Source organism: Homo sapiens, chromosome 14, assembly GCF_000001405.40.
Source record: "Homo sapiens chromosome 14, GRCh38.p14 Primary Assembly".
In the NCBI taxonomy this organism is placed as follows: domain Eukaryota; kingdom Metazoa; phylum Chordata; class Mammalia; order Primates; family Hominidae; genus Homo; species Homo sapiens.
The window spans coordinates 74,471,043-74,493,613 of NC_000014.9; the positions used below are offsets into that span (position 1 = coordinate 74,471,043).

General features: G+C 43.3%; 2 protein-coding genes, 1 non-coding gene and 1 pseudogene across 5 annotated transcripts in view, besides 3 other annotated features; 1 reads left to right on the forward strand and 3 right to left on the reverse strand.

The window, feature by feature from the left end:
* SYNDIG1L (synapse differentiation inducing 1 like) overlaps positions 1-9,101 on the reverse strand; it is a 74,245-nt gene extending 65,144 nt beyond the window's left edge. Inside the window, exon 1 of the mRNA XM_017021600.2 lies at positions 3,262-9,101. The gene's annotated coding sequence lies outside the window, so the exon portion shown is untranslated. The remainder of the gene's footprint in view (positions 1-3,261) is intronic.
* Positions 8,893-22,470, reverse strand: NPC2 (NPC intracellular cholesterol transporter 2). Of its 3 annotated transcripts, NM_006432.5 has the most exons (5): positions 22,151-22,263; positions 15,287-15,394; positions 13,373-13,545; positions 9,660-9,737; positions 8,898-9,246 (listed from the first exon to the last, which is right to left on the reverse strand). In NM_006432.5, exons 1-5 carry the CDS (start codon positions 22,230-22,232, stop codon positions 9,232-9,234), a joined length of 456 nt encoding a protein of 151 aa, NP_006423.1. In that variant the 5' UTR covers positions 22,233-22,263; the 3' UTR covers positions 8,898-9,231. The 3 variants fall into 3 exon arrangements, with proteins under 3 accessions (NP_001350617.1, NP_006423.1, NP_001362369.1); NM_001363688.1 differs by having other exon boundaries at positions 8,893-9,737; positions 22,151-22,470; NM_001375440.1 differs by lacking the exon at positions 9,660-9,737.
* MIR4709 (microRNA 4709) lies at positions 9,091-9,162 on the reverse strand. Its single transcript, NR_039858.1, has one exon. It is a non-coding gene; the product is annotated as a microRNA 4709 (primary transcript).
* On the forward strand, positions 11,805-13,124 carry RAP1AP (RAP1A, member of RAS oncogene family pseudogene; annotated as a pseudogene).
* Positions 16,748-17,947: an enhancer, noted in NCBI's record as "CDK7 strongly-dependent group 2 enhancer chr14:74954493-74955692 (GRCh37/hg19 assembly coordinates)". NCBI's record gives its function as "activates an origin of replication core promoter dependent on BRD2, BRD4, P300/CBP, MED14 and CDK7 cofactors, with strong dependence on CDK7, by STARR-seq in HCT116 cells {active_cell/tissue: HCT116}" and the evidence as "EXISTENCE:reporter gene assay evidence [ECO:0000049][PMID:35650434]".
* Positions 22,016-22,075: a silencer, noted in NCBI's record as "silent region_5930". NCBI's record gives its function as "represses an Ori minimal core promoter by ATAC-STARR-seq in GM12878 lymphoblastoid cells {active_cell/tissue: GM12878}" and the evidence as "EXISTENCE:reporter gene assay evidence [ECO:0000049][PMID:35858748]".
* Positions 22,246-22,525: a silencer, noted in NCBI's record as "silent region_5931". NCBI's record gives its function as "represses an Ori minimal core promoter by ATAC-STARR-seq in GM12878 lymphoblastoid cells {active_cell/tissue: GM12878}" and the evidence as "EXISTENCE:reporter gene assay evidence [ECO:0000049][PMID:35858748]".

Sequence of the window (22,571 nt, forward strand, 5' to 3'; positions counted from 1 at the left end):
ACACAGATAACAATGGAAACCTGCAGAGAAACTAGAGAATAATTTCCTTTAGGCAATCGCTGGAAGCTAAATGTTCTTCGTACTTTCTGCTTTCATCTTACTCTTGGTAACCTCCCCATCACCTCCCTCACGATTCCATCCTGGAGTAGTTTAGACACAACACCCTGCAGAGCTTGATCCTCTCGATCCTCTGCAGAGAGACACGGAAGTAGTTCCAACTCTCTCTGGAGGAGTGGCCGGCAGAGGAATCTTGATAATAAAGTCTAATTAACAGGCCAGGCATGGTGGCTTATACCTGTAATACAACACTTTGTGAGGCTGAAGCGGGTGGATCACTTGAGCCCAGGAGTTCGAGACCAGCCTGAGCAACATGGCAAAACTCCGTCTCTACAAAAAAATACAAAAATTAGCCAGGTGTGGTGGCACACACCTGAAATCTCAGCTACTTGGGGGACTGAGGCTGGAGGATTGCTTGAGCTTGGGAGGTTGAGGCTGCAGTGAGCTGTGTTCACACCACTGCACTGCAGCCTGGGTGACAACGTGAGACCCTATCTCACACACACACACACACACATACACACACACACACAAATCCTCACAATTTACAGACCGAACTAAGAGTGAGTTGTTTGCTATGGATTCAATTCAACATTTAATGTGCAACTATAGTGCACCCAGGGCATTGTGCACTATAGGAATGGTGGGTGGTACAAAAATGAGCAAGAGTTCTGTCTCTAAAGAGTGTGTCCTCCATGTGTTTCTAATATTATTTGATTTTCAAAACTTCAATTCATACAGGATCCTTTGGAGGTACCCATGGTTCTCTGACTCTCTTCCTGAACTACCACTGAAGTCATAGCGTTAACATATTTAAAATCTCAGATGAATTTTTGTAATCATACGAAATTTATTATCGACTCTATATTGGTATTGGTTTCGATATAAAATGATCCTCTTCTTCCCCAACCTCATACTCCTCAAGTTCTACTTATAACACTGGAGCAGCAGGAAAACGGACTAATTGTATCCCATCTTTTGTATCCCTGGCATACTATCTTACACCCAAGGAACACAAGTACCCCTGAGAATCAGAGTTATAGATACTCAATACCTATTTATTGATTTCAAAACCCAGAGAGGTGTAAGACACCAGGGCCTTGGAATTCTCCCTCTCTCCCTCTACATTTTTCCTTTCTTCACCCTCTAGTCCTTCATGCCTTCTGGTCTGGGACACCCCTCCCCTGGCTTTTACCTTCTTTCTGCACATTTCTTACAGGGGCTCCCTGTTTGGTTCTGGTCCTTATTTTTGCATTTGGCATTGTTTTAGTTTTGAACACAGAACCATTTAGGCCCAAGGCAAATGGTGGCCCAAAAAAGATAGTTAATCATTCCATTAATTAATTATCTCAAAAACCACATATAGATCTGCTCCTTGGACTAATAGCTGTGCTGGACAGTGGGAATACAGTGATGAGCAAAATGGAAATGTTGTCTCTCCCAAAGATGCCTTCAAGGGACTGGGAAAGCCAGACATTGATCAAATAATTATACCAGTATATAGTGTTGAATTGTGTCATGAAGGGAGAGAGCAGAGTGCTATGAAAATGTATAGCAAGGTGTTTGATCTGATCTGGGGGAGGTGGTCAGGGAGGGCTTCCTGGAGGAAGGGACATTGCAGGAGAAATGAGGATGAGTAGGAGTTAACTAAATGAAAAGGGGTTGTGGGGCAGCATTTCAGGCAGCAGAGCAGCATGTGTAAGAGTCCTGTGGCTGGAGGAAGGAAGTACAGCCAATTTGAGGAATTGAAAGGAGACTGATGTGGCTAGAGCAAAGACAGAGAAAGAAGTGGTGTAATGTGGGCTGGAGAGTCAGAGGAGGGGGGCGGAATTCTAAAATCCAAATAGATCATGACAGCTGGGTATACACTAGGGTCGGGACATCACCAAGTATGCTTACTCAGGTCCAGAGTAAATTAAGTAGGAGGAACTTTAAATAAAACCAAATTAACCAAGACCAGTAATGCAGGAGGAGGTAAATTCACCGTAAGAAATACTCCAGGCTGGGCGCGGTGGCTCATGCTTGTAATCTCAGCACTTTGGGAGCCCGAGGCGGGTGGATGGATCACTTGATGTCAGGAGTTTAAGACTAGCCTGGCCAATATAGTGATACCCCGTCTCTACTGAAAGGCAAAAATTAGCAGGGTGTGGTGGCAGGCGCCTGTAATCCTAGCTACTCACGAGGCTGAGGCAGGAGAATCACTTGAACTCGGAAGGCGGAGGTTGCAGTGAGATGAGATCATGCCACTGCACTCTAGCCTGGGCGACAGAGTGAGACTCCATCTCAAAAATAAATAAATAAATATATAAATACTCCAAAAAATCTCAGAAGATATGTTGGCTGAATGAATGATGGATAAATAAAGACCTAGTACATGATTAAGTGTCTCCATTTCCAGCCACTTTCTAAGCAGAGGCCTGACCTGGCTCTGCCTCTTCCAGAGCAAATCACCTCAGTACTCTTCCTTTTTGCTGCCATGGCATTCTGTACATGTGACTATCATGGCTTTGTCCCACTGGATTGCAGTGATGGTTTGCTGCTAGCTTCTCTCATTAGACTCTAAGCTCCTTGAAGGCAAGGACCATGCCCTACTCATTTTTTCATTCCCAGTGCCCAGCACAGTGCCTGGCACATAATAGGTGCTCAGTAAGTATTGGTTGAAGGAATGCATACTGTCCTGTCCATATAAATTCCACCAGACTTCATGATGATCAGGATGACACAAGTGTACAGCTGCCTAGGCCTCCTATACCCTCGGAACTAGAAGCCAACATTTCAGGAGAGCCAGCTGCATTACAGTCCTGTTTTGCAGTCAAAGAAAGGCATTCACTGAGTCAGTCTCAACCTTGTTCTTCTGGTGACCAAATCTGGGACCTTGTTTTCCTTGTGAGGTTTTCTGTGAGGGTGCCCAGACAGCTCATCAAGCCAATGGGATCTAAGTAGGAAAATCCAACGGATTAACTGCTAGTCCTCTGCACTAGCCTATGATATTAATATTCCCAGTATGAATAGGCTTTGTATTTCCAAGCTACACATGCACATCCATTGTTTCCTTTTGTCTACACAACACCTCTATGAGGTATTTAGCTGAAAGAGGTTAAATGGTTGATCCATGGTCCCATGGCAAGTCAGTCAGGCCTGGAGGCTTTTTCTCCTACATTCCCCTGCCTTACTCCCTACCCCAGAAATTTCTCTGTTACCCACCTTGACAGGAGATGGTTCTCAGTGGCCACTGTCTGGGAGATGCTCTGTGTAGCTCTTTGGGCCTTGTTCCTGCCAAGCCAAGCCTTGGCAAACTCTGGTGGGAAGCTGAGGGGGTTGGCCAGGAACTTCAGAGATTCAGTGTATGGGGAGAGAGAGTTGCATAAGCCGGGTCTGCTTTCTCTCTTTCTCCCAGAGGCAACCTGATGCAACTTGCAGCTACAGAGCCATCTTCATGGCTTCTTGCTTCAGCCAGAGCAATCAGGAGGGAGAGGCAGGCTGAACTGAAGACAGACAGCAGCCAGGAGGGGAGGAGGAGCCATTTCTGCCTGAGCCCAGGGCCAGGGAGCCTTCAGGCTGGAGACAAGCTGGTGTCAATGAATCTTACAGACAGATGACAGCTGGCTTCTAGAAGATGTGAGCCCTGGCCCTGCTCTGGAGCTGCCCACTCAGGATGAGGCAATGCCGTGCCCTTCTTCAGGAGAATGAAACCTAGCCCACTGTTACTCTTTTCTTCCCTTTGGAGACAAGGCTGCTATAGGGTTAAATGGTCTGATCCAAGACCTACAGAAAAAAGACATTTTTCCCTATTAAAAAAATTCATTAAACAATTGCTGAGGTCTAGGCATTTATTGAAAGATGAAAGGGTAGTCTCTATTCTCAAGATGTTTACAGTCTAGTAGGAAGGTAAGCAGACACATAAAAATCATACATGAAAAAGAATGTGGTTAAGTGTCTTAAAAAGAGAGGGTTAGAATCTGGCTTAATGAAGGCAAACCAGAGTGTGGCATCAGAGAGGCCATCAGTCTTGAAAGGCACCTGGAATTAAATTTGGAAGACAAATGCATGGCAAATGCCTATGATTCTAGGCCACTGAGCAGTTTCCATGGCTGCAACCTTCCTTTTTTATCTAGGATGATAATAATAATACTAACGACCTTTCTCAGCTACTTATTATGCGTCAGGTACTGCACTGAGCACTTTGCATCCCCCATCTCATGTCATCATTAGAACCACCTGAGGTGGGTATATTCTTATCATCCTGTTTTACAGCTGAGGAAATTAAGGCCCTAAGAGGTTAAGGAACTCATCAAAAGTCAAGCAGCTGGAAAAAGTTGGAGGTGAGATATAAACCCAGCTTGTATTTAACATTTTAAATGTTACAGAAATCTGTAAACAACTACTGCTTCCAAAAGTGAAAACCTCCCCACAGATTCTGGGGAAGTGCTCAACTGTCCTGTGGAGCAGTCCAAGTTCTAGTGGCATCTCTCTCTCTCTCTTTCTCTGGTGCCAGGCTCTTAGACTCTGAAGCTCCTGGGAGGGTCTGAGACTAACAATTCCAGGCAGGAAAAAGGCAAGATTAGGAGAAAAAAAAATCAGCATCACAAATCTCAGAATTCTGCAGAACCAAGTGAAAGTCTCCTGGGCCCAACATATCTGAAATGGTCTCTAAAGCAAATGTCTTGGCCTTAGTCTCCATCCTAAGCCTCTCTGGAGTTCAGAGATTTTCCCCGCCCTCACAATATGAGTAACTAGAAAACGATTCATCTGTGTCCATTTGCCAGTGGTTCTTCAACTTCCTTTCAGCGTCTCAATGCATCATAAGCTGTTAGTCCTGACAGAGGCTTTAGTGATTAGTCCAATCCCTTCAATTTGTACATTACACATTAACAGTGGTTAATGGAAGAGCTTCTGGGATGTTTTCTCTTTGTTTTAGTAAAAAAATCATCTTACCACTAAACACTAATGTGAGAGTTACTTTGATTGCAAAACAGAAAAGAATCTTACAAGCATTGTGTGTGTACACTGAGAATCTCCATCAAACCTCATCTTTCCTATGTTGATCCATTTGCAGTATCCCCCTTTGTGGCAGAGGCATATGGATGGTTGAGGGTGTAGTGGGCAGAGCAATGCATTTCTCCAGCGCTGAGAACAGTCTGCTGCTGCTGGCCTGCTCTCTGCTTTTTGATCTGGCACACCCAGCAGCTCTGCCATGTTCAAGGCCAGCAGCCATCCATTTGTCTGCCAGGCTCCTTCTTGGCCTTACCCACTGGCAGTCAGAGCTAAGCTGATCTTTCTGCCTGCTGGCTGCTTATCTGGGACATATGATTTGTGGAGGACGGCCTGCTAGAAGGGAGCCGTCCTTCTCCAAGCCCCTGCAGGTGAGGGGAGCCACACTGACATGCCACGTCTGCTCCAGAATCTCAGGCTCTTAGTCTCCATTTGCAACTGCAAACACCTGTGCTCTGTGGCTAGCATTGGGCAGTGAGCAGAGAACAGGCATGGGAACATCTGCAGAAAGTAGAAGAGGTCACTGTTCTTCTGCCCCAGTCGAGAGGAGCTGGCCGGATCCACTCACCCACATTGCCCACCCTCTTCCAGGACCCTTGAGCCACCTATGCAGGCCATCTCCTGGTCTCCACCCTCCCCTCCACCCCTTTTTAGGAACCAAACCCCTGGTTTGGAGAGCCTGGTAGGTTCCCATAGCAATGGGCCTTTTAGCTGTTTCCATGGCAACCAACACCCAGACCATTTAGTTGCTAGTCAACTGACAGCTGTAAGTGAATCGGATTCAGTTTAGAATCTAGGGATAGGCTGAGGAATTCTCTTCAGAGAAAAAGACACAACCACCCAAAATGACTCAAATCCTTCAAAGACTTTCAGGCAACATCTGTGGAGATCCAGAGCCACTTTCTACTTTGGGTCACTCAACCCTGTCTCCCCCCAGCCCCATTCCCAACACACACACACACACACACACACACACACACACACACACACACACACACAACCCTGTCTCCCCCCAGCCCCATTCCCAACACACACACACACACACACACACACACACCCTCGCCTGAGTGTTCCAGGCCTTTAAATAAGGCATACCCCAACCTCTATTTCCTGTTCTGTCTCTTCCTTGGGAAAAACACTTGTTTAACGTGACTTTCACCTTGGCGACTTTCTTACACGACTCCTTTTTCTGTGCTAATGCTTTTCTTATATACTGTAACCCTGTCCTTGTACCAACCCATTTAACCATTGCTTTTTGGATTATCTGAAGTGAATGGCTGATCCCAGATCATTTTCTCTTAGTTGACCTCACCTATTTCAAGCCACTCTTCCTATGTCTGGAGGGTGTTCTCAGAGAACAAGCTGTTTTTATCAACCTTTCCAAAGCATAATCAAGATCACCCTGTTTCTTTTCTGAAAGACTTTGTGTTAAAAAAAAAAAAGATCACTCTGTTCCTTTTAAAAAAAGTCAACTAAGATTTAAAAACCAAATATGCAGGATTTAAAATTACTCCATGCTTGTTGCTTTTTATTAGTATGAAGATTTGACTGAATACTAGTCTTCATATTTAACCTTTTCCCAAACTGGAGATATGAGGTGTTGGGTTCCCTTTATTCTATAAGCAGGGGTGCCCCTCATTATTATTTCAACAATTAGAATCTGGGATTTATCTGTCCTGGAATTCATGTAAGAGCTGAGCCTCCAAAACCTGCTCCGTGGACTAGAAAAGCATGAGACGGTCATTGGAAAGAGGATGACCTTTTTGATATACCTAAGATTCAGTGCTTCTCAATGTTTTAATGACTCACGGGGGCGTCTGTGAACTGTCTGTAGAAGACGACCTTTCAAACTAATCCCCCCACGGGAGCCCTACCTAGCTCACGGCTGCAGGCTTCATGTAGCCCCGCGATGGCTGGCAAACAGTCACAAGCTGTTGTGTTCCCCTTTTGCTCTGATGGAAGGGTATAAACTAGCCGAAATACTTTTTAATTTCGATTTCTGAAATATCTACTTATACTCTTTGTCTTTAGTGCTTCCCCACCCTTTTCATTATCACTCCTTACAGGAGCTTTTATGGACCTTTTAATCCTAATCGACCACCCCACCAAATTTTAATACCGCAGATATAATATGTATCTGTTTATGTATTATCTGTCTGTTCCTGCTTTACACATAAAAAGATTAAGAATTTTTTTGTCCCTAAGAACAAATTTTCACAAAGAATGCAAGTTATAAACAATGAAAGATATACAGTATTAAAACATTGTTTCAAATTTGAAGAATAAGTGGAGGAAAGAAAAATATATTTTAGAACTTAGATATGTAAATTATTTCCAAAATAGTTTAACACTCAAACTAGTCAGCTGTATCAAAATCAATTCTCCCTGAAGTAGGCACTGTTCCTAGCTAGAGGCAAGTACTCATTTTGCATGGTATTGTGAGTCCTGTCTTCTTTTAACACAAGGGCAGAGGAGTATGCAGGGTGGGTAGCTGTTAACTTCAAAGGAGCTAAATGGCATGAGAAATCTTCTGGGAATAGGGAGACAGTGGACACATGAGAATTGAGCTTTTCCAGGCCTTTCAGAAAGTTCTTGTGCACAGAGGATAGCCTCATCCTTCTGAGGAGACATCATCAAATCTCAGATTGAACCTTCTAATTTTCCTGCTATTTGTAGACAAAGAAGAATGTCTGTCTCCCAGAGTGACAGCTAACATTTAGAGAGTATATACTATAGCCAGGGTCATTCTAAGTGTTTTACATGCCTCATCTCATTTAGTCTTCACAGCCCTATTATTATTAGTCCTATTTAACAGATAAGGAGACTGACACACAGAGAGATGAAGTGATTTCAAGATCACACTGGTAGTCCTGTTAATTGTTGGTGCCAGGATTCAACCATAGGCAGTCCGAAGCCAGAGACCCGCACAACAGTTAACAGCCTCAGGAATTCACACAATTCTGATACATCTAGAGTCTGGTATGGGAGACAAGGTGGACTGTCACTCTAGACTCAATGTGGCAGGATACACAAAAGATCTTAGGTAAAAAGTACACTGGTTGACTGGCTCCTAGCATTAACTAGGAAAGCTTGGCTGTTGATAACTGTATTCCTGATCCATCACTGTCCCCTGGTGGTTTTCCTGGGAAACTCACAGACCAAAGAAATCCAAGGGTCTAGTGAAATTAGTGGGATGAAAAGAACTGGATCAAATCAATCACTTGCTCACAAGCACTTTGTATGAATGTTCCTTCCTTTTGCCCTAACAATGGATGACCTAAGGTCCATGTTATTCAACTCAATTGTGAATGGGGTTGTAATCCCTGTACCACCTAAGAGCTGACTGCTAGTATACTGACTCAAAATAGGTGGCAAAATATATGCCCATGATTATACTTGTACTTTAAGATAGGAAACTCCAAGATTTAATTAATTTAGCCATTACTTGCTACAACTTCACATTTCATTTTTAAGCTTCTAGGCTTTCTTCACAGCAGTGTTCCCAAAAGATCACCATGCCTCATCCTAACCTGTAATCCCTAACCCCTACCTGCCCTCCCCACCAAATTCAGTTCCTTCAACCTTTCAGGCGTTATTATTCAACTAGGTGATTTTTACTTTCACTGCTTCTTTCGAGCATGCTTGGTGGTATAAGATTGTGTCAAATAAAGCAAAACAAGGCCATTTTATATAAAATAGATATGGTCTTACTGGACAAAAAGGAGGAAAAAGAGTTTCTGAAAAAGTCATGTCTTCAGTGCACTCTGGGACCACGGAACTGGGGGCCTGCCTTCCATGGTTCTAGCAGAATGTACCCTGAAAGGAGCAGGAGAAGACCACAGCCCACATGCAGAAGACAAGACAAACGAGTTTTTATTTATTCAAGAGTAAATTTCCAGGTGTAGAAAGAGGCCACAAGTTAATGTTGTTAAAAAAAAAATTAAACATCTGCTAACCAAGTGCTGCATTTAATGAAACCACCTAAGACAGAAAAAGAGACATGAGACAACCACTGAGAACCAGCCACCCGGAGCTCAGTTTCTGCTACAGAGCACCTCCTCTTCAACGAATCACTGGATACCATTGGAGAGCAAGTCACTGTTGTTGAAGCAGCAGAGCTGGAGGTGCTGTCAAGAGTCTCAGCAGACTCATTGGCCAGATGCACCGAACTCAATGAGGCACTTAGAGATGAGAAACCTGTGGATGTAATGTCCCAGCTCAGTGGAAGTGGTTTGGAACCTTTCCTCCACTGTCAGGGCAATAACCCTAGGGCAAGTTATCAGACATTCCTAAGCAACCTCCTTCAGGTCCTGTCTGGCTGGACCTTCCTTACTCCGACAGAAAAAAACCAATGAAGACAGTTAAATCAATCTCTACAGTCTCACTCTCTCTTCTTTCCTTCAACCTTTTTTTTTTTTAACAAAGGATATTACAAAGGCAACAGTTCTGAGCTCTCAGGAAATAGGGTCTCAGATGCTTTTAGAGGTTGAGAGGCATAAAACAGCAGTCTTGAAATTCCTTTTATCTTATGGCACTGATTTAGTTTCAGTCTGATTTCTCCTCCACTTTCTTCCCTCCACCCATGCCCTCTCACCCCCAGATAGACTTACGATCTGTACTGGGATTTCCCAGCAGAAGAGACTTTGGTTTTTGTCATCCTGAAGTTGCCACTCCACCACCAGTTTTATCTGGAGAAAGAGAAAAATAATTGAGAAAAATGAAAATAGGACCTGACTTCTATCCATAATTGGTTTAACTATGAATCCTAGATGTACAGTAGCAAACTTCCTAACTCCTCATACTTTTTTTCTTAAATCATGAGGGCTGCTTAGCATGTGGGCACAGCTTACAGCCTTAAGAGAGTGAACAAAGTTATACTTGTGATTTGATGCTAGCAGCACCACATACTAACTTGGTTAATTTATCAAATGTAATTTCTAAAGCATTCTCTTCTCTCTTAGATCAATGGCATATAAATGAAGTGATACGGTTTGGTTATTTGTCCCTTTGAAATTTCATGTTGACATGTGACCTCCAATGTTGGAGGTGGGCCTGGTGGGAAGTATTGGATCATGGAGGAAGATCCCTCATGAACGGCTTAGCACCGTCCCCTTGGTGATGAGTGAGTTCTCACTGACTTCACATGAGATCTGGCTGTTTAAAAGAGTCTGGGGCCTCCCCCTTCTCTTTCTTGCTTTAGTGCTGGCCATGTGACACGCTGGCTCCCCTTTGCCTTCTGTCCTAACAGTAAGCTTCCTGAAGCCTCACCAGAAGCAGGTGGTGGCACTATGCTTCAGGTACAGCTTGCTGAACCGTGAGCTGATCAAACCTCTTTTCAAGTTACCCAGTCTTAGGTATTCCTTTACAACAAGGCAAATGGACTAACACATGAAGGCTTACATGAATAATTTCACATTTAAGCAATTTCTCATGTATTTGGCAATCTGATCCAGCTTTTTCCCAATGTAACCATGAAGAGCAGAGAGTAAAAAAAATTTAGATTCTTAGGTATAAGGAAACGTTCTTGTTAGCTAGAAATGGAAATGTCAAAGCACAAAAGATGGCCTAGAGAAGTCTGTAGCTGTATGAATAATTTCAAGGATGACAACCTTTTGTAGCAATATACTTTCAGTTAACGCCCTTAAACTGCTTTCTAATAATGTACTTCATCAGAAATCCCTGCCTTGACTTGTTACACTCATATCACGTGAGTGGTCCCTTCCAATTCTTGATAACTCACTGACACTCTGCAGGTCCTTTCTTATGTGGACATTAGCTTACTTGTCACTAGTTACTACCTCTCTTTTGTACTCTAATGTTTCTTCACAATGGAACATGTGAGTGGCACTGATATTCAGGTTCTTGAAACTTGCCTTGTGAGTTTTTCCAGACTAGTATACATTAACTACTGCTTCATTTAGTGCTTAAGCAGTTTGAGCTATTTTTCAAATTAAATGTAACTCATTTAACAGACAATAACTACCATACATTAAGTACCTACTACGTATCAGGCTCTGACTAGTCACTGCATACGTAACTGAGGTTCAGACATGCCCATGGTTATGTGGATATTCATCTACTAATCTGTCCCTGACCTCTAAGGTCTCCAACAGCCCTTAAGCACAGACATCCTATATTTGAGTCTCTTTAGAATGTTCTTTAATTACTTACCTTTCCTAGAAAATAAATGGCCAGATATTGCTCCTGAGTTCTACTTGATTTCAAGAAATGCGGCTCTTTTTCTTCATGGAAAAAGGCCATCCCTCTATTTCCTCCATTCTTATCAAGATACATATCTTTAATACAGGTCCACTGCAGCAGGATCTACCTTATGAGTGCTTGGTAGAAAAAGAGGTAGGTGCAGCAGGGATGGGTCAGAGGTGAAGGTGGGGATTGGAGGGCAGAAAGAAGGCTGGAAAAAGCTACCTCTCTGCCATGGAGCTAACAAACTACTGCTCTCTTGTTTTGTTAAGAGATTAATGGAGAAACCAGGATTTTCTGATGACAATGTTAAGACAACTTGGATCTTTAATTATTTGGTACCTGGCTAAAATCTTTTAACATTGCACAGGCTTTGGAGTTATAAGACCCAGCTCAAAACCTGGGCTCCACTGCTTCTTAGTGGAGTGGACTCTGTTCATATTGCATAACTTCAGAGGCTCAAATTTCTTCAGCTGTAAAATAGAGATAATATCACCTCTACATAGGATGGTCATGAGATCCAAGTGAAATATTGTATATAAAAATGGCATCAGCCGTTGCTGTGCAGAGCCGAAGCAGGAGCCGCAGCTGGGAGGAGGGAGGAGGGAGGAGGGAGGAGGGAGGAGGAGGTGGAGGAGGTGCCAGACTGGGGGAATCATCAGTATTTAAACAGACCACATCACGGGTGAGCTAGTGGTCCTTGGTTCAGGAGGTGTTGGGCAGTCTGCTCTGATGGTTCAGTTTGTTCAGGGAATTTTTGTTGAAAAATATGACCCAACGATAGAAGATTCCTACAGAAAGCAAGTTGAAGTCAACTGCCAACAGTGTATGCTTAAAATCCTAGATACTGCAGGCACAGGGCAATTTACAGCAATGAGGGATTTGTATATGAAGAATGGCCAAGGTTTTGCACTAGTATATTCAGTCCACGTTTGACTTACAGGACCTGAGGGAACAGATTTTACTGGTTAAGGACACAGAAGATGTTCCAATGATTTTGGTTGGCAATAAATGTGACCTGGAAGATGAGTGAGTAGTTGGCAAAGAACAGGGCCAGAATTTAGCATGACAGTGATGGAACTGTGCCATTTTAGAATAATCTGCAAAGTCAAAGGTCAATGTTAATGAAATATTTTATGACCTGGTCAGACAGATAAATAGAAAAACACCAGTGGAAAAGAAACAGCCTAAAAAGAAATCATGTCTGCTGCTCTAGGCCCATAGTCAGCAGCAGCTCTGAGCTAGGTTACAGGAATGAAGAACTATTGCCTAATTGGAAAGTGCCAGCATTCCAGACTTCAAAAAATAAATTTGAAGAGGCTTCTCCTGTTTTATACATTATGTGAAGAATTTAGATCTTATATTGGTTTGTATAAGTTCCCTGGAGAAAAAAAACTGCTCTGTGTATATCTCTTGGAAAATAAGACATAACAGATGTGAAAATATACTTGACTCTAATATGATTATACAAAAGAGCATGGATGCATTTCAAATGTTAGATATTGCTACTATAATCAAATGATTTCATATTGACCTTTTTATCATGATTCCTCCCTATCAAGCACTAAAAAGTTGAACCATCATACTTTATATCTGTAATGATATTGATATTGCAGTAGATAACTTTTTTGAATCAATTACCTCATTTTATATTTTAAAAATTATGGAATATCCTCTGTCATTATATTCTAATTGAAATTGTGCATAATGCTTTGGAAAAATGGGTCTTTTATAGGAAAAAAACTGGGGTAACTGATTTCTACGACTTTCAAAGCTAAAATATACAATATACTAAACCAACTCTAATATTGCTTCTTGTGTTTTACTGTCAGATTAAATTACAGTTCTTATGTATGATTAAATTTTAGTATATTAAAAAACAAATGGCATCATTAGGCCCAGGCTAACCATCAGGTCATAGTGAAAGAATGAAGAGACACAGAGAAAAAGACCTGCCCTACCTCCTGATGCCTAACACCGCACCTATCTCCTTTCCCTCGGGCTTCTTCTTCATCATAGAGATAAGGGGCCCTTTACCCCCATCTCTGCTTCTTGCCCACTGCCCTCAGAACTCTAATCCAGTCCCAAGGCCTCCCGTGTCCTCAATAATGGTATCACTTACAGAGGGATATTCGCTTTTCACTGGTAGTTTATTCAGGTAGCTATAGGTCTTGTCTTTTTGGATAGGGCAGTTAATTCCACTCTTACAACCATCAGGCTCAGGAATGGGAAAGGGAACTGGGACGCCCATCAGGATGCCATGCACCACGGCCTTGCTGCTTTTAGACTGAATATCTAAGAGAAAAAAAGAGAATCAGATGGCAAAGAAAATAACCTATTTTCAAACTCTAAATCAAAAATTCAGAAATAATCCCAAGCAACAGCATTCCTAGGGTCTATTTCTCTTGATAGTGGTGCTTGGTACTAGCACAGTGCAAGCATTCACTCCAAACACAATTATGCAAAAAAAAAAAAAAAAAAAAAAACAATCAGCAGAAGTTTTCTTTGCTCTTAACCTTGCTCTTCATGGCCCTTCACAGTTTCTTAGGAGAATCAGAGATACCTGGATAAACAACCTTATCTAACAAGGCAACTGATTTTTGGCAGTAAACTTTCTGTTTGCTATTTATATCAGCTTCTGTCCAAGTATATTGTGTGTCTTAAATGTCATGGTCTGTAACAACAGTGAAAGAGGTAACCCTTTAGCAGGGTAAGATTAGGCTGGATCACAGTAGCTCCCACCTGTAATCCCAGCACTTTGGGAGGCTGAGGCGGGTGGATCATCTGAGGTCAGGAGTTTGAGACCAGCCTGGCCAACATGGAAAAACCCTGTCTCTACTAAAACTACAAAAATTAGCCGGGCGTGGTGGCGCATGCCTGTCATCTCAGCTACTCAAGAGGCTGAGGCGGGAGAATCGCTTGAGCCCAGGAGGCGGAGGTTGCAGTGTGCTGAGATTGCGCCACTGCACTCCAGCCTGGGTGACAGAGCGAGACTCTGTCACAAAAAAAAAAAAAAAAAAAAAAAAAAAAAAGAAATTGGGTAAGATTAGAAAGACATGCAATTCTTTATAAACTTTACCCTCCACATCACAAGATGGCCAGGAGGAATAAAGGTATTAAAAAATGAGGGCAATCAGACTTATGAGTTATTAGGGTATTTTGGAGACCCAGAAAATTGGTTCTGTTTCTTTCCTTCTGTCTGGGTTGGGGATGACTTGTTCAGAAGGCTTTTTTTTTTGGTTTGGAACAATAGAGAGGCCAGGGTATAGTCCAGAGAGGAAACAGGGAGCTAGTACTTAGAGCTGTCTTTAGGCTTATGAACAAAAGATGACAGGAACTTTGAGGTTTCTTATTAGACTGTCTAGTCTAGTTTCACAGGACAGAAAATGAGGAAAAGATTCAAGGAACATGCCCTGCTTAGTAATAAAAGATTTTACATTTGTCTAGATTCTTAAAAATCTCAAAGTGATGTGGTACAAGAAAGCAAAAAGTTCCAATGATATTTCTTGAATATTGGAGAAGAAAGCTCAGATTTCTTGGCTATTTCTTGGGTCCCCAGTGGGTTCCCTAAATCTTAAGGAGGCTGTTAAGTATTAGTTGCACCTTTATTTTCAGGTGGGATGTAGACTTAATAGCTGAAAGGCATTACTGCTTAAAACAACATTTTGGAGGAGTTCCAAAGCTTAAAGAATTGGGGTCCATACTAATACTCTGCAGTCTGTAGCTAAACAGAGCTGACATTCCCATCATAGCCTACTATGCAATATGGGTCAAGACAGAAAAGCCAAGCTGTCTTCTCTAACCTGTGAACACATGGACATCTCCCTGTTTGCTTAAAGGGAGTCTGGGAGCCATGGACCCTGCATGAGAAGGGTGTCCAAGGGCACAGTGAACCCTAGCTTTGCATGAGGTGCAAAAGAAATCATAAAATTCATGACTGCCAATTCCCCTCCCCTCCATTCCCATGCTTATTCCAACACTTGATATTTAGGTTATGCTGTAACATGAATTTGAGTTAAGAGCCACTTTTACGCACTGCTGGTGAAGGTGACATTGACGCTGTAAGACTGTCCTTTGCTCAGCTGGCAGGGTTGGGTGGGGCATGGGCTCACATTCACTTCCTTTATAACTCCATCCACAGAACCTGCAAAAGAAAAATGAATTGGAATAGGAGAATAGGAGGAGAAATAAGCCAGCTAGGCTGCCCACCACCTAATGGGAAGGTGCTCTGCTCTCCCATTTAGGGTCAACTCATTCTCCTCGGACTGTTTCCCAGGATGGAATCTTTAAGAATAATGCCCAATTAGAAGTCAGAATCTTGATTCATCTTGCTGCTAAAATCATAGCCTTTAATTCAGATGATAAAGAAGCTAGTTGGTTTTTTGATCAAGAGAAAGTTAATATTTGTCAAACTAAATAATATCAAGACCATATCCATAAATGATCATATTAAAGGAATTAAACTTCAATCAGAGAAATTCCAAACATTCCTAGAGTCTTATCTCGCATTCTTAATGGTAAGGGTCACAGTTTAAACTTAAACCTTGAAGACGTTTGCTTCAACCTTCCTTTGGATGAAAATATTCCTATTTTCCCTTTCTTTTTCTAGCATATAGATTAGCATGTAAATCTGATGAAAGTTGTTCACTACAGGAACAACTACATTTTTTTTTTTTTTGAGATGGAGTCTTGCTCTGTCACCAGGTTGGAGTGCAGTGGCACAGTCTCAGCTCACTGCAACCTCCACCCCCCGGGTTCAAACCATTCCCTGCCTCAGCCTCCTGAGTAGCTGGGACTACAGGCGAGTGCCATCATGCCCGGCTAAGTTTTTGTATTTTAGTAGAGACAGGGTTTCACTATGTTGGCCAGGATGGTCTTGATCTCCTGACCTCGTGGTCTGCCTGCCTAGGCCTCCCAAAGTGCTAGGATTACAGGCGTGAGTCATTGCACCCTCCCTGTTTTGTTTTTGTGGTTTTTTTTTGTTTTTTTTTTTTGAGACAGGGTCTCACTCTGTCACCCAGGCTAGATGCAATGGCACAATCTCAGCTCACTGCAGCCTCAACCGTCCCAGGCTCAAGTGATCCTCCTACTCCATCCTCCTGAGTAGCTAGAACAATAGGCATGCACCACCACACCCGGCTAATTTTTGTGTTTTGTAGAGACAGGGTTTCACCATGTTGCCCAGGCTGGTCTCAAACTCCTAGGCTCAAGCAATTTGCCCACCTTGGCCTCCCAAAGTCCTGGGATTACAGGCATGAGCCACCGCACCTGGCCAAAAACCGCACTTTATGCGGAAACAGCTAGAAAGCAAATGTAGAGCCTGAAACTCCGCGGAGGAAGATCAGAAATGAATTACAACATCTTTCTACCTCAAGTTCTACATGAGCAAACACTGATTGAGGGAGTCTGCTATTATTGCTTGGAAAGTCTGCCAGATCCCAAAACAGACTGAACCTTTCTTGAATCTGGCTTCAAGAGTTTTTAGTTCCTGAATCATTCATTTTTAGACTCTATGGAAATTGTACCTTGACTAGCAAGAATGAAGGAAAGCAGAGGCATCTGAAGAAAACATCTCACAACAATGGTATTTATCATCCTTGTTTTAGGGGTTAGAAACCAGAAGAGCAAAGATTACTGAGATTTGTCCAAGGTCACATTGCCTGGAAGGGGCAGATCGAAGACTCAATGGGTGGGCCTGACTTGGAAGCCCTTGTTACCGGAACCTGAAAGAAGCTTTAAATACGCAGCCATGTTGATGAATGGAAGGACACCCCAAGGAAATTTGCATCTGAGAACTACTTGAGGACTCTGGATGAAGGTCTGTCTCAAACTCAACTTTTCAGGTTTCTTAATTCAGCATCGCCTCTTTGCCCCTCACCATGATTCTCTTTCTATCGTAGAGGTTCAACCCCTATATCCTCTGTGATTTTCAGTGATGAAGTATCTTCTATCCAGATTTTGTACCCTTTCTCCCAAACTGCTGGTAAATCCTTTGCCCAGTATTTTGTCTTCCTGGAATCCCTTCTTTCTTTCACCCCAACTTGACTTCCTAGAGAAATAAGCAGCACTATTAAAGGTATAGGTAAAACGATGAAAAGTGTCAGAATATCAGTCTTGGCTTTTAAAATTAGGCTGATTCAAGGGTGGGCATGGTGGCTCATGCCTATAATCCCAGCACTTTGGGAGGCCAAGGCAGGTGGATCAAGAGGTTAAGAGTTCGAGACCAGCCTGACCAACATGGTGAAACCTCGTCTCTAATAAAAATACAAAAATTAGCCAGGTATGGTGGTGCTCACCTGTAATCCCAGCTACTCAGGAGGCTGAGGCAGGAGAATCGCTTGAACTGGGGAGGCAGAGGTTGCAGTGAGCCGAGATTGCGCCACTGCACTCCAGCCTGGGTGACAGAGCAAGACTCTGTCTCAAAAAATAAAATAAAATAAAATAAGACTGATTCCAGAAGCCTACTCACTTCCGAGTAAGCAGACTATGGAATTTAAGAGGAACTACCACTTAACACTGAACAGAGGAGTGACCCTAAACAGAAAAACCACCTACCATCTCTGAACTAGGAATGACCCTTAAGAGAGGAACTACCTCCCACTTCTGAATTGGGAACTGCACCATTTTCACTGCACTTCTGCAGTTTCTTCAATGATTTAGTCCTGTTCTTTAAGGCCCACTTATGAGTCATGAAATATTTTGGCTCCAAAAACAACAGGAAGTACCTTAAATCTTGACTAAGGTTGTTAAGATCTGGATTTTTTCCAAGAATCAAGGGGATGAAGAGGAGTACAGAGGTTAAGGTCTTTATAGTTTCAGTACAAGCTTAGGGCACAAGTTAAGCTTAACTCCAAATAGCACTGACTCACACAGCCAAGATGGCAGAAGTGCCAGCTGCATTAAAGAAGAATACTGCTACCTGAGTCTGGGTTTCATTTCCTCTGAAATATTAACTTGGCCTAGGTCTATATAGCTGCTGGGAATGATACACTTGCAAATACTGCATATGTTAAAAACATAAGGATGAGACCTAAGAAGGTACTAGAAAGAGTCAGAAATAGGATTTATCCCTGGGAATCCTCAAAACAAATACATATTTTTCAAAATTAAAAAATTTAAGAAAAGAAATTGGATTCATCTGACTTGTCCAGGTTGTTTCTAAGTAGTTTCAAAAACTGATTTTAAGCACACATCTGCAATCTACAGATGTATACTCGATTTTGGGAACCTGCGTTCTTAAAATAAGTGTGTGTGTGTGTGTCTGTGTGTGTATGTATGTATTTTAATCTCAGTCTAACCAAGGACAAAAGTACTTGTATACAATAAATGCTTGACCAAAAAAGGTTTAAATAAAGCCTTTAAAAATCCCATTTCCTCCTGCCCCAGAGACTGGGCAGTTGAATGGGAGAGAATGCAGGTGAACTGCCTGATAACAGTGCCTGTAACAGGGTAAGTTAAGTTCTGCCATTCAGCCATCATTGCTGAGAGGCAGACTCTGGTGCCGGATGCCTGGGTTTGAAATCTCACTATCTCTGCTACTTACTGTATAGCCTCAAGGCAAGATACTTTACCTCTCTGGAGATAATGGTGTAGCTGAGCTAACACAAATACAGATCTTAGGTAAGTGTTTGGAACATAGTGATACATATATTTACTATTATTATCATATCTGGATTTAGTCCATGAGTTTAATCTAGAATAGCTGCTCCTGGGTAGGTTAGCAAGTTCCCTTCTGACACAAAAACTGGACCTCTCACCTCAAATATACTTTGTGGATAGAAATTATGTTTCTAGCCAATAGGATGGACTCTTTCTGTCTCAAAAGTGGAATGCATGAAGACAGAGGCAAACTGCAGGTTGAGAGTACATTATCTGCTATGCAGTCAGTCACCAGATTAGCTCAGTACTATAAAAGTATGATATGAACTCAGAAATCTAAGTAGATGTTCTTTGCTGCCTGTACCTACCCTTGGGTGGAACAGTCTCTTTAACTATCATCACACTGACCAACACTGCTCCAGCTAGGTCAGTAAATAGTACCTTGCAGTCCTTTATCCCTCAGCTTGCTTCTCCATCATTGCAAAGTTCTTAAACTGCACACACTCTTAAGCATCCAAAACAGTTTGAGAAACACTCTCTTCCACTCCAACCCATTTTTGGTGAATAGGGAAAAAAGAAATCCCGAACTTCAATCAACAATCTATTGAAAATCAGTGCTAATGTTAAGGCTTTCAATGTCCAGCTTCCACCTGCTTCTTTCAAGGCTGAGTCACATAATCTAGTAGGAAGTAAGTAAAGGGTAGTACTTATAGCTCTTTCATCCAGTTTTCTGATGACAAGAGGTTCTTAGACTTCCAGTGTCAATAGAACAAACTCCTCTGTTCTAACCAGCAAACATTACAAAATTAGTTTGCTTGGTCCACTTTCTCACTTGAGGAAATCCCACGCCAGGGAAGGTGGGTGTAGAGTGGAACACAAAAATCTTTGATGTGGGCACTGAAGTCTTTATATCATATTTCCCAATTCAAAAGTAAATTATAAATCTGTAACTGAAACCCTTCTTCCCTTTAAAAGCTTCTTCCCATAGGTGTACTCCTGCTTTTTCAAATAAGTAGAATAATTTCTGGATTTATTTCCCTTCTTTTTTTGGAAACCCAAAGTGGCTCACAAAGACCCACGGTTTCCTACCACTTACTGGGTGTGAGATCTTGGGCAAGTTACTCTATGTGCTTCGCTTTCCTCATCTGTAAGACAGCTTGTGAGGATGGAATGAGTTATTTTATTTTATTTTATTTTTTTGAGACGGAGTCTTGCTCTGTCGCCAGGCTGGAGTGCAGTGGCGTGATCTTGGCTCACTGTAACCTCCACCTCCCGGGTTCAAGCGATTCTCCTGCCTCAGCCTCCCGAGTAGCTGGGACTACAGGTGCACACTACCATGCCCAGCTAATTTTTGTATTTTTAGTAGAGATGGGGTTTCACCATGTTGGCCAGGATGGTCTCAATCTCTTGACCTCGTGATCTGCCCGTCTTGGCCTCCCAAAGTGCTGGGATTACAGGTGTGAGCCACTGTGCCTGGCCGGAATGAGTTATTAAAATTAATAGTGTCTTCATCCAAACGCTGGCTACTAAGTTTAATGGAGGGAAAGGCAGTAATTTGAAGCGATAATAGCTTTCAAGTGCCAGTCTCCTAAATCAATGGAATAGCATTTAAGTGTTAATCGGCCAGCACTCCATTCCTTAATCAATCCTGTCCCCTAATCCCCAACTTTGCTTTTGTCTCAACATGAATTTTTATGACATAGGGGAAAAAGATTTCCATCTATGTTTTCAACACATTTCATTGAGCAGTTACTATTACCTGGGCACTGGATATAAAGCAGCAAACTTATGAAACCGCCTTTGCAAAAATCCTGAGGAAATTAAGACAGTGAAAGAGATCAGGACTCACCTACCCATCTTCCTTCTAACCTCTAAACTGTCTTTGTTCATTCCTGGGTGTAGGCTGAACTAGTCTTGGAGAGGAATTTATAGTTTAAACTCTGAAACGAAATGGATAATAGCCCTTTCCTGAAAAACCCCTTCTTGCCTGGGGACCGGTCTGCCTTTGTAGGACTAACAAATTAGCTACGAGTTTAGGGGCCACGCCGCCTCTGGCTGTAAGAGTCTGAACCTCCCCAAATTGCTCCTGGTAATGATATCACTATTGTAAAACCTAAGGTCAGTGCTTGAGATATTTTGCAGATCCTGCATTCCGATGCAGCAAATGACACCACCCAGAGGTCAGCAAGAAGAACTCACTTCGACTCTCCTATGATTTTATCTTCAACCTGACCAATCAGCACTCCCCACTTTCCAAGCCCATACCCGCCAAATTATCCTTAAAAACTCTGATCCCCGAATGCTCGGGGAGACTGATCTGAGTAACAATAAAACTCCGGCCTCCCCCACAGCCGGCTCTGCGTGAATTACTCTTTTCGCCACTGCAAATCCCATCTTGATAAATCCGCTCTGTCTAGGCAATGCGCAAGGTGAACCCCTTGGGCGGTTACACTTACTCTGGCTCCCCATTCTGCTGCGTGACTTTAGGTAGGCTACCCAACATCCCTGGAATTCAATGATTGATTATACGATCTCCGTGCTTCCTTTCCACTCATAGATCTTACAAAGTCAGTTTCATGCCTCTTTCATTGACAGTTCTATCTCTCTATCTCCACCTCTGAACAACATTGCTCGAGTTTCTGTTCCGACAATTCTATAGACTCGACTCAATGAAGGCACTCAGAATTTCTACCACCTGTTGTATTTTCCAACAAAGATTCCAACCACAGCGGCGAGAGGGAGTTATGTATCACAAGCTGTGATTAGAGACACAATGAGATTTATACAAGGAAAAACTGATTAAGAATCACAAGATTCCAAAGCCCAAAGGAAGTCCTATTTGTAACAATAAATGATGAAAAAGGGGAATTGACTTTTGACTTGTCAGCAAAAACGAAATTAAAAGAAAAGCAAAAGGAGTTGGAAGGGGGAGGCGGGATTCCAAGATACAAAGCATAAATAAAAAGAAGTTCTGTGCTCCACCCCTCCACCAGAGCTGGATACAGCCCTTCTGTTGTCCGCCCTACAAACTTTAGGAAACTTCAGCAAAAGGCCCACCTCCTGGAGTTCCCAGGAACCCCAAAACACGCGTTCTAAGGAAAGAAACAAAGTTGTGCGCGGTCGGGTTTCATGGAGGCCGGCGCCTTCTCCCCCGACCCAGCCCATTCCAGTTAGGTAGGGTCCAAGGCTCAGCCTGGCCGCCCGAGGGATCCGCCCAGCCCAGCCCCAGGGGTCTCAGCGCGGGGGTCCGGCGGGGCCTTCCACAGAGGGCGCGGGAACCTTGGGCGGGCCTGGGGCTCACCGCAGTCCTTGAACTGCACCGGTTCGGCCTGGGCAGCGGTGCTGAGCGCCAGGAGCAGGAATGTAGCTGCCAGGAAACGCATCGCGGATAACGAAGTTCCAAGCTCGGGAAAGAAGCAGCGGCCGCCCGCGGTCACAAGACAAACCTGTCGGGGCGGGCCCGGGGAGGAGCCCAGTCAGGCGACCTGTCACCAGTAACCACAGCTGAGGCCCGCCCGCGCCCCGCCCCCGGCTCCGGAAAGCCAGCTCCAGCCCTCTCAGGCCCAGAAGCCTGCAGTCTCCGCCCATGCCATCCCCTCAGAGGCCTGACCCGCCCGGACCCACCTCCGCCCCGCCCCGCCTCACTCCTCCCCGCCCCGTTCCTTCCCTTTAGAGCACCTCTCCGGCTTCCTGGGTGCGTCCCCGCCGCTGCCGTCTGGAGC

Excerpts from the sequence above, each read along its gene's own strand:
- NPC2 (NM_001363688.1), bottom strand. The coding sequence starts at position 22,232 with ATGCGTTTCCTGGCAGCTACATTCCTGCTCCTGGCGCTCAGCACCGCT. Across the intron at positions 15,395-22,150 it reads GGTGCAGTTCAAGGACTGCG|GTTCTGTGGATGGAGTTATA; the intron begins GTGAGCCCCAGG and ends TTTCTTTTGCAG. Across the intron at positions 9,738-13,372 it reads TGAAAAGCGAATATCCCTCT|ATAAAACTGGTGGTGGAGTG; the intron begins GTAAGTGATACC and ends CTCTTTCTCCAG.